Consider the following 12,128-nt stretch of genomic DNA (forward strand, 5'->3'; position numbering starts at 1 on the left):
ACCTGATAATGCCAGAGTATTTGAAGACCTCAGGGGTCAAAATCTGTTCATAGTTGTTTAGACTGACTGTCATCCATGCGTGTTTTGCCATTTTTCCCTAGGAGTTCTTACTTGCCTGAAGTTAACCTGGGAGCACCCTGGAGGCTCTAAGCTGAAGATGCTGACTCCCCAAGGTACTCTGCATCTTCTATTTCTGGACAATAGGAATGGCTCTCAAACTAGGGATGCTTTAAGCTATTGGCTTTATTTTCTCTGACTTTATGGATGGTACTAAAATAACCCTAGATCCATATGAGAACAGTCCTGTACCAGAGCTAACAAATTCCACTGGAGACCAGTATTGTCACTAATTAAATTCTATCCAGAGTCACAGCAGTGACACACATGCTTTTTTTGTTTCTTCAGTCTAGCTTTTCACTGATTGTTTAGACCCTGTGAGAGCAAACCTTTAGGAGGGCATCTCAAGCCCAGCATCCTCCCCCTTGCATGACCTCCAGATCCATTTTCTCATACCTGGTATGATCAATAATCCTCAACGTTTCAGGCACCTGGTTGCATCATTTTACCCAGAATGACTCTGCCTTCACAATCACTCACCTCTCTAGTGTCAGCTCATGATTTGTTTGTTTGAGTTGTGGTTTTTAGGACATTCCTTACTTTCTTGTGGGCTCAGCAATGCACAGGCAAGTATGGTTTCTTTGTGATTTATTCAGCATGTAGATATTCCACAGTATAAACGCTTTCCAGCTCATCTTATCCACCACATGGCTGGAAGAGGAAATTCATACAGACCTCAGGGATAACTCTAATTAATAAACGGCTGTTCTCTGGGCCCCACCAGCCAGGGAGAAAGAGGACCAGACACTTAACTTTCATCCCTCTTCTTCCCAGCCTTTTCAAATGCTCCCAGAAGAGTGCTGCTGGGCCCTAGGAGAATGCCTCTTATAGGTGCTGTGAAGTTTACATTTCCACCTTTTCTCTTTTGCTCTCTAGATTGCAATGCTGCTATTTCTGATCACCAGAGACATCAAAATGTTCACTCTGTCTCCCTTGTCCACCAAATCACCCTCTGTTTGCTCCTGCTGCTGCTGTTTCTGCCCAAAACCCGGGACACCAACTTTTGGATGAAGAATGCCAATACCAAGAGTCACAGCACCATCCCATTCACTCTAGGCTGGTTCACCCTTGTGATGAAGACCACCATCCCATGGCTATTGGCATCTTTATTCTCCACTTCCACACCAATCATAGACAGAACACCTTTCTATTTTTCGTCAGTGAGGGAGGCTCAGTGTCAAAGACATTCATTATCCCTATAAGCAACATGCTTTGAGTATATATACACACAAACACATACATACCTATATTTATACACACACACACACACACACCTATTTATCTGCACTTTTATCACCAATCTTATCTTTCTCATGCAATCAGGTCATTTTCTGCAGATTTGGTAAGCACCAGGAGATTCAGACATCATAACTCTCTCTCTCTCTCTCTCTCTCTCTCTCTCTTTCTCTCTCTCTCATTCTCTCCCTACTCCTCCCCGGCGGCCACCTCACTGCTTGGCTACCCTGTTTCCTGGGACATGGAGTCCTCATTTATACTCATTGAAATGTGTTGATGAGAATTTTGCAGAAAAAAATAAGAAAGCAAGAAGAAGAAAGAGAAGAAAAAGAATCACATGAATGAAATTTGGGTTCTAATTAATAAGTAAGACAGAGCAAAGTCTAACAAACCCAAAGTTGTATTTTTTATGCTATGAGCACATTGTTTATTTACTAAAGATGCTCCTCACTCCTTCCTAATTCCTGTGAGACCATGGAACACCCTTTAGAGGCAAGAATTGGTTTTCACCTCAGTAAACCTATTTTGAGCACCTGCTGGGCTGAAAGCACGCAGCTGGATGTGTTGAAAAATACAAAGTTGAAAATATGTCTCTTCCCTTTCACCCATGTCAATGCATATCAACCACAATCACCCTCCAAGGCTCATATATGCAGTTATTTCTGATACACAGTGCCTAGGACATAATACATATTCAATAAATATTTGCTTAGGGAACAAATAAATAGGTCTGCTTGGATGTCCAAACGCAATAAAGGCACACCACAGTACCAGCAGGTAGCGACACACCTCTCCCTTCCTCTCCCTTTAAAAACTACTCGAATAAGCCAGACAATAACCATTGGCATCAAACCCTGTTTCCTTCTTTGAACCACCCCAGTTTTGCCATTTCTCTTGCCTCCTTTTTTGCGGTACTTGCTTATCTCTACCTCATTTCACCACCTCAGTTCAGTTTTGGCGCCTTCCCATTGTTGCATGCTATTAGCACATCTACTGAAATGCCTGCCAGTTGATTCCAACTTTGTCGCAATATTTCATATCAGACCTTTTGGAGAGGGTCAGAGGTGTGCTGTCAGCTTTCCAGAAAGAAACCTCCAGCAAATACCAGGTTTCAGTTTCACTCAGCTCTGCCTTCCACTCTACCTTACTGGTTTTTAAATAGAGTGTTGGTACGTCCAGAGCTGTGTACCTTTTGGGAAGATTGCCCTGAAAGAAATCGCAGATAAAGAGAAATTAGTCTGGAGGCAGAAAGTTAAGAAAATATACGCTCATCCAAGTGAAAAGAAATGAATGAGCTAAGGTGGTAATGAAGAGGGAGAATCAGAAAGAAATGAGAGACACATTAAGGGAAGCAAATGGCCTGGAAAAGTGATTGGATGAGATTCAGATTCAGCAAGCTATGGTGGACTGGTGATCTGTGAAGCACGGTGCTGTATCAGAGAAAATGGCCTTTATGGATCAGAGCTGCCAGAGAAGGTGCCACAGAGGTGATGAAATGGGAGCTAAGCACTCAATGACAAAGAATAAGATGTGACTCCAGGTGGGAGACAATGATTGGGGAGCATGTGGTGGGAACCACAGAAACAAGCATGGATCCTGTAGTATCCCTACCATCAAGGCTTGATAGGGTTTCAAAGAATTGCTGGACATCTATTATCCTTCTCTGCCCAGCACTCATTTCTTCTTCTGAAAACAAAGCCCATCTTTCTAATGGGGAAGCAAATCATTGTGAATCACCAATACTGACCACTCCATTATCCTGGCTACCAGAGTGAACAAATAATACAACAAATGTGAGGACTCTATTACCATGACCTCAGGGATTGGTTCAAGTATGGACAATCGGCCTAAAAATATCCAATTAGAATGATTTAAAAGATTGAGATGATCTATTCCAAGGCATTAGGATTTGTATTTCTTTTTCTAGCTAAAATGAATATACTCAATTTATTTTCCCCCCTCCTCTACCCTACACACCCACTATTGTAGCCACAGGTACAGTTGTATGTAATAAAAACCCAATGCCAAATAGCCCAAGAGTTTAAGAACATTAAAAAAAAAATAGCCTGGTTCCCAAGCTACTTTTCCTTCCACTGTACCCTACTGTCTTCATCACCCTTGTAGAGACTTTGGCAGAGTTATGTAATACAGACAGTATATCCCCTCCAAGAAAGGAGATTTGTTTGCTAATTACACAACTGTCCTCTCACTGTTTCTGCTCTGCTACCTCTTGTTACCTCTTACACAATTTTTTAAAGACAGGATACAAGATGATGTGACTTTACATTGCACATGCAGGCACCCATGCCTTTAAAATGTGCTACTGGCTTTTATTTATAACTGATTTTATAGTTCTCTTTATTTTCCCATGCTAGGCTTTTCAAGGTAAAAGTTTAATTGTAAAATTGGATAGGGATTAGGGAGGAACAAATACCACCCTATTGTAAACAACCACATTTTCTCCATTGAAGACGCATGGCTGTGCTGGATTGCAGAGTTTGCAGGATGAGAAGACGTAGTCCACACCTAGGTGCTGATGTTCTAAAGTAATTCAAACCTGTGTTGTTCAGTTGAGGTGCTGGGAGTCTCTTCTATTATGATCTCCAAATTTAATGTAAAGAGTGTCTCTGAACACCTTTCATGAGGCAAATGTAATATAGGTCTCGTGTTCACATGTCCAGTGAAAATCCATGATCAATGGATTAAGTTTTTACTGGACTTTTGAGAAAAACATTTGAAAACTGCTTGGAATGATTTGGATAGGAATATTAAAATAAGCCCATGTCTAAAAAACTGTTAATGAGAAAACTTATGCTACTAGACTTTTAAGGGAAATCAGCAAATCACAAGAAAACGTGCTGAACTGGAAGATTATCTCAAAAAATAAAATTCCAAGGAAAAACTTAGGCTCATCACATAAACAATTACTCATATTTTTCTAAGCCTTTCCATTTACAAAGATTTTACTCACAGACTCTTATGCGAGTTAGAGAGAGCTGGCACTATTATTTTTATCCTCTTTTGACAGCTGCTGGAATTGAGGTGTAGGGTGGTTAAGCAAATCTGCAGAGGTCAGACAGCTAAGAAATGGGGAAAGCATGACACAAAGACCTCCCCTGCCTCTCGGTCCAGAAGGCAGCATGAAAGAAGATGGGATCTGCAGTCAGGGCTTCCCAGACATTAGCCACAACTTCCTGCTATGTATGACCAGCTACTGAATCTTTTTAATATTGCTGCTCTTTCTCACCTGCTATGGTTGCTCCTTCTGCTTGGAAAAATGTCCCCACTTTATTCTCTTCAAAAAAAAAAAACATAAAAAATCTTCTTGTAAATTTGTTTAAGTGCCTTGTACATGCCCAAAGGAGTATAAATCATTCTATTATAAAGATACATGCATGTGTATGTTCATTGCAGCACTATTCACAGTAGCAAAGACATGGAATCAACCTAAATGCCCATCAATGATAGACTGGATAAAGAAACTCTGGTACATATACACCATGGAATACTATGCAGCCATAAAAAGGAATGAGATCATGTCCTTTGCAGGGAAATGGATAGAGCAGGAGGCCATTGTCCTCAGCAAACTAACACATGAACAGAAAACCAAATACCTCATTTTCTCACTTACAAGTGGGAACTGAATGATGAGAACACATGGACACATCGGGGGAAACAACACACACTGGGGCCTGTCAGAGGGTAATGGGGAGGAGGGGGAGCATCAGGAAGGATAGCTAATGGATGCTGGACTTAATACCTGGATGATGGGATGGTCTATGCAGCAAACCACTATGGTACACATTTATCTATGTAACAAACCTGCACATCCTGCACACATACCCCTGAACTTAAAATTTTTTTAAATTAAAAAAAAAAATCTTTATCAGCTCAATATCATCACTTCCCTTAGGATATCTTCCCTGATACTCAAGCCTCCCCTCAAAAGCAGGGTTATATGCCCATCTTGTGCTCCTATAGCTGCACCCTATGTCTGCCCCAAGTCTCCATTGCACTTTTCAGAGTAACTGGTCACTTATATATCTCATTAGGGGTAGAGACATTATGAGGTGCAGTTGTCTATTAAAGTTGAAAGCAAACTCTAAGGATGCCTAGGTGAATCTCCTGCAACCATTTCTTACTAACTGTGGGATCTTAGGTAAGTTGATTGGGCCTTCTATGCTTCATTCTCATATTTGCAAAATGGGTATTTCTTAGTTTCTTATGGCTCCTGTAGCAAATTACCATTAACTTGGTGGACAGAAACATCAGAAATTCATGCTTGCACAATTCTGGAGGCCCAAAGTCTGATATCAAGGTGTTGGCAGGGCCATGCTCCCGTGAAGGCTGTAGAAGATGATCTGTGTCTTGTCTCTTCCAGCATCTGGGGGCTCTGGGTGTTCCATGGCCTGTGGCTGTATCACCCCAATATCTGCCTCCATGGTCCCATTGCCTCCTCTTCTGTGTGCTTCTTCCCTGTGTGTCTCCTACAAGGGCACTTGCCACTATATTTAGGGCCATCTTGGATAATCCAGGATGACCTCCTCATCTCAAGATACTTAATTACATCCGCAAAGACCCCCTTCCCAAATAAGGCCACAATCACAGGTCCGGGGATTTGCATATGGACGTATCATTTTTGGATGATCCCTATTCAACCCACTACAAGGCATTATAACAGTTTGCTTAGTTTTCATATTTGTTGGGAATATTGAAGGAGATGATGCACATAAAGCTCTCAGAACAGTACCTGGCAAAGAATAAAATGTTCAATGTTCAATAAATGATGGCCATTATTATCATTCTGTTTCCTAGTGACTATCACAGAGGCTGGCATATACATACATATATATATATATATATATATAGAGAGAGAGAGAGAGAGAGAGAGTGTGAGCTATATATATAGCTATATATATATACTATATATTGAGAGCTATATATATAGCTATATATATACTATATATTGAGAGCTATATATACGCTATATAGCTATATATATAGCATACATATAGTATATATACATATATATGTATATATACTATATGTATATATGTATATATACATATATATGTATATATACTATATGTATATATGTATATATACATATAGTATATATACATATATAGCATATATAGTATATATACACGCTATATATAGCGTATATAGTATATATATACGCTATATATATAGCATATATAGTATATATACATGCTATATATATAGCATATATAGTATATATAATATATAGCATATATATTATATATATGCTATATATACCTATATATGATATATAAGCTGTATATATAGATATTATATATATGCTGTGTATATATTATATATATGCTGTATATATTATATATATACACTATACATATACACTATATATATATATACACTATGTGTATATATGTAGCTCTCAATTCTTATTTTCCTGTTTTCCTAAGTTAGAGATGTTAACTAGCACACTCTAGATATATTGCTAACATCAAGGGCTTAAATAGATCATGCTAGTTAATCTTCACTTTGACAAGGATATTCAGTTAACCAGAATTCTCCTCCCCCATGACATGTGAATCTTGGCAGTGCTTCCAGTTGCAGCTCTTTCTCAAGGGAAGGATCTCCATGTTGAGGGCATGGAGAATTTTGCTCTTTGCCAGTCCTCAAATAATGAATGACTTCATTTAAAATAAAGTTGAAGAGGTCAAGTGTATGTAATTATAGACGTGGGAAGGCTATGAAAGCAACCATCAAATAACCACCCTGCAAGATTACAGGCATGAGGAGGGACCGAGGCTGGAAAAGAAATGACTTGCCCAGGTCATTCCTTGAGTTGGCAACAAGGCAGGATCTCTATTCATCCAGATTCAGCCCAGTCTTATTCTCACCAATGCTCTGCCTCAACTTGCTGACACCATTCAGTGCAAGAACTAATACCCACAATAGTATCATCTATTTGAAAAACTGGAGGATCAGAACCAATTTATGTGACTCAACAAAATCTTACTCTCATAAGCTCTCAAGACTCTATTCCAATAGACCCATGTAATAATAATACATAATAGCCTTATAATTTGTATTTTGTATTTCACTTTTATTTGCAAACAGTACCTCAGAAAAGCAGTATAAGATATTTCAGGCTTATTTGACACACCTAAAAGTCCTCTACTTTTCTCTTCTTTTTTATTTTTTTGTTTGTTTTTACTTTTGTTTTTGGAGACAGGGTCTCAGGGTCTCACTCTACTGCCCAGGCTGGAGTGCAGTGGCATGATCATGGTTCACTGCAGCCTCGACTTCCTGGGTTCAGGTGATCCTCCTACCTCAGCCTCCCAAGTAGCCACAGGTGTGTACCACCATGCCTGGTTAATTTTTGTATTAGTTTGGTGCAAAAGTAAGTGAGTTTTTGCCATTAAAAGTATTAATAATTGCAAAAAGCACACTTTTGTACCAACCTAATACAATATAATTTATAATATAGATATTTTTAATAATATTTTTTGTAGAGATGGTGTTTCACCATGTTGCCTAGGGTGGTCTTGAACTCCTGAACTCAAGCTATCTGCCCACCGTGACCTCCCAAAATGCTAGGATTACAGGCATGGGCCACTATGCCTGGTCCAACTTTTCTTCCTAATAGGATCACTCTTTCCTCTTCACAAACTCCATACCTATTCCATGCCTCCTCACTGCACACTTCTGTTCAAACCTTTTTCTTTGTATCTTGAACACCTTCTCCTCTATTTCTACCTCTCCAAACCCTATCATTCTTGAAGTCTCTGTTAAAATGTTATCCGCTCCATAAAGTCTTCCTTGTTTGCCACCAAGTGACATTTCCTGTCTCTGAACCCTCATTTTACATCTTTTACACCTTTATTGTGGCATTAATCATTTTCTAATTTATATTTACTTACCCTCCTTTTCTATCTCTCCCCTTATTTTATTGAAGTCACAGAGACGTCTGTAAAATGAGAGTCAAACAAATAAACTGGAAAGTTCCTCTGTCCACAGGACTTTCAGAGAGAAGTTAAATGTGTAATCCTGATACCTTGACCACAGCTAAATGGACCAGGATACGACCCCAGTTCAAGACCAGCCAATCCCTAGACTGACCAGCAGCTATGAGGCAGCAGACAGGGGTGACAGTGATATGCTGGAGCTGGCTTATGCTAGCTTATGGGCCCCAACTGTTCCATTTTCAGGATTTGAGGAGCCAGGTGACGTTATGTTGACAGCTTGAAACCATCTCTCGTAGGAGTATTTGTGCCAAGGAAATTGGCAACACACAGGTGTCAGGGTTTCCCCTACCCCCACCCAACCTCCCACAGAGAACCAGTTATTAAACATTACCAGCACAACACTGATGATAGCAAACTGAACCTTCTCCCCAGGCAGTAGAAGTGTGAGACCTACAGAATGAGCCAGCGGTCCTTAACACAAACAAAGGCAGAACTAACTCAGAGAGGAGGCTGGGTGCAAAAGACAGGACACAGACAACGGCATGAGGCAGCAAAAGCCACAAGGCTGAGAGATAGGAATAGAAATAAGCTGGTCAGTAATGGCAGGTTCAGAATAAGCAGAGGCAGGGAGTGGTGGAATTGTGACGATGACAAATTCCTGGAGTAGAAACAAACAAGTGCCTCTGCCTCGGGATGATGACTAATCCTGCCTCCTGGATGCTTTGCTGGATCCCACATGACCTTTCTAATTCCTACTCATCTGTGGGGCTGGCTTTGCAGGGATTCCTTTTTTCCTCACTTTCCTGCCTCCCAGATAAACTCTCATCACAGAGGACGTGCAGCCCAGAGAACACAATAGAGTGACCATTGCACTTTACAGCTCATAAACTGCTTTCACATCTATCCTCACATTGAATCCTCATGATAACTTTGGCAGGCACACAGGACACCAGCTCTTGTGAGCCTCAGCCAACACATGAGATAAGGAAGCTGAGGCTCAGAGAAGCTGCAAGACTTGCCCAAATATATGAGGCTAGAACAAAAAAGAAATGACATATGATCCCAGGTCCTCTGGCCTCAGGATCAGGGGCTCAATCCACTTTGGGCATAGGTGAGCTGGGAAGTCCACATAAGATGGGAAATGCTTTAACACTTTGTCCTCTCAGATCACAGCCCATGAATGACAGCACGGTTAGTCAACCATCAGAAGGAGCGAAGAGGCCAAGAGATAGAAAAAGTGAGAGAAAAAAGAAAATGAAAGAGATGAGGAGAAAATGTGATTTGGAAGTTTGGGTATCACATATAAATAATATAATATATAGGTATGCACACACACATAAATATACATGTACAGTATACATGTAATATCACATTATGTATGTTATGTGGCATCAGACATACCTGGGTTAAAAATCTCAGCTTCCCTACTCATTGGACACGAGAACTTGAACAAGCCACTTACCCTTCCTGAGACTCTATTCATAAAATGGACATTAGTTTCTCCGTCCACTTTGTAAGATTCTGATAAAGCCTGATGAGAAAATGTATGTAAACTATCTGACACAAAGCTGTCCATAAAGTAATAATTTAATATATTTGATATTTAATTACTATTATTTTTAAGAAATAATTAAAACAATAAAAAGCTATAATCACTTAGTTATTAATTAGGATCATTAATCTGCCTTTATCCTAAAAAAAAAAAGTCAGCTAATGAAAGAACTCCTCTATATAAATCAAGGATATTTTATACATGTACACAGTCTGCTCTACCAAAAATTAAAAATATCATTGAAAACATACAGGATTCAAAATTAAATGTCTTTAAATAAAGCATAAAGCAAAAACAGCTGCTGCTGGAACTTGGTCCCTAGGCAGGTTTGATTTTTGAAAATGACAAAGAGGCCAAATTGTGCTTCGATTCCTGCCTGAACGGAGTGAGAGATGGGGTGTGACTGCCTCCCTGACAGCCTGCTTGGGGGAAGAATGCAGATGCTTAAACAAAGGATATTGTATGCTGGACACACAGCTTTCTGGGACTCTCAGCCATCAGGGAATTCTGCAGCCACATCACAAACAGCCTTGCTGAATTTTTCCTTCCATTTTCTAAACTAGCAATCACCACAAAGAAGACACCCTAACGGGTGCCATGAATGCAAATTTATTAGGCTGATCTGGGATAACACTCCTTGCCACCGGCAGAAAAATCACCTATATTCCTGGAGACCTTAGTATGTGGCCTTATCACTTCCTAGTAGAGCCTCTGCTACAAGACTAATTCCACCTGGAGGATAAGTGTCTTATGCTGCAACCTAGAAATTAGACCCAGAATATGTACTGGGGGAGGAGCTGTTTGAATATGACTCAAATATAATTTTTAAATATAATTTTAAAGTTAAGTAAACAAAAGTAAACACAAAAAATAAAGCCAAGAATTAAACCAACCAAACGGCACTCACCTTAACCAATGACCACCTTTTGCATATGTGCTTCCCAGCTTCTTTTCCTTCTCGTGTATGTGTTCACAGAATTGAAGTTAGAGTATCTTCATGATTTTGCAATGCAAATTTTTAGGAACTAGCTCATTGTGTAAGGGGAGTGGAACAAGAAATGGTAATTTGAAGGTATCCATCTTACCCTACGCAGGTAGGATGCCAGGGTGCCAGAAAGTGTCATCACTAGAGAAGCCTCACTTCTCTGAGAAAGCAATGTCAAGTTAAGGTGCTTCTCTTTGTACTCCAGGATGAGAAACAGCCCCATAGTGTTTTTTATTTATTTATTTATTTTTATGTTTTTGAGATGGAGTCTTGCTCTGTGGCGCAGGCTGGAGTGCAGTGGCATGATCTCGGCTCACTGCAACCTCTGCCTCCTGGTTCAAGCAATTCTCCTGCCTTGGTCTCCCAAGTAGCTGGGATTACAGGTGCGTGCCACCATGCTCGGGTGATTTTTGTATTTTTAGTAAGCTGGAGTTTCACCATGTTGGCCAGGCTGGTCTCAAACTCCTGACCTCGAGTGATCCGCCCACCTCGGCCTCCCAAAGTGCTGGACCCCATAGTGTTTTATCTCTCCTGCCCAGTGTTCCTGCTACACAAACTGAGTCCAGGTTTTTGACCACATCTCAATGTCTTCTCACTGTGCTGCCACAGCTGGTGTTCACTGTGCCTAAAACTCTTTTCCCCACCGTCCATTTATCTCTCTGACTCCTTTTTACCACTCAGATCTCTTATTTCCCACCCGTTCGCTCGCAGACCTTTGCTGAACCTGACCTGACCTGCCACCTCAGGCTCCAGGAGGCCGTACAGAAAACTATAGCTGCCGCTTCCTGGCACTTATGACAGTATTTTAATTTTGGTTTTCATGTCAATCTCTTTTCCAACGGGGAGACATGAAATTACATCCAGAAGGGAAGGGAAAGACCAGGAAGCCTGGCTCGCGCCACCACCACGGATGCAGGTATGCCATGGTGGTATTTGAGCAGCAAGAGCCTGGGCCTGAGAGCGAAGTGGGAGCAGTGAGGCCAGTGGGATAGCAGATGTGTCTGTCCAGATGCTCTTTCTCTAGAGCTCTGTCTGGGCCTCCAGGCTGGGGCTGGTCCTCAAAAAAGATCACACCAGAAGAAAAGGAATCTTCAAGAAATACAGTCATGATCAAACAGCCTGAGGATCAGGGAAAGGGATGGGTCAACATCAGTTCCTACTAGCAAGCCAATTCCAGAGAGGAGTGGGAAAGGGAGATGACTGCAAACCCCAGCGGGGGTTCCCTGAAGAACTCCTAGACCCTCAACTGTCAAGATGGAACAGGAAGACATGTAGCCAAGGA

At 40.8% G+C, this 12,128-nt stretch overlaps 1 long non-coding RNA gene across 1 annotated transcript in view; it reads right to left on the reverse strand.

Moving 5' to 3' along the window:
• Positions 1–1,751: 1,751 nt before the first annotated feature.
• Positions 1,752–12,128, reverse strand: part of CPEB2-DT (CPEB2 divergent transcript) — a 92,085-nt gene continuing 81,708 nt past the window's right edge. Inside the window, exon 8 of the long non-coding RNA NR_038857.1 lies at positions 1,752–2,559. This is a non-coding gene — a long non-coding RNA (CPEB2 divergent transcript). The remainder of the gene's footprint in view (positions 2,560–12,128) is intronic.

The sequence above is a fragment of the Homo sapiens genome, chromosome 4 (assembly GCF_000001405.40).
Source record: "Homo sapiens chromosome 4, GRCh38.p14 Primary Assembly".
Taxonomy (NCBI): Eukaryota; Metazoa; Chordata; class Mammalia; order Primates; family Hominidae; genus Homo; species Homo sapiens.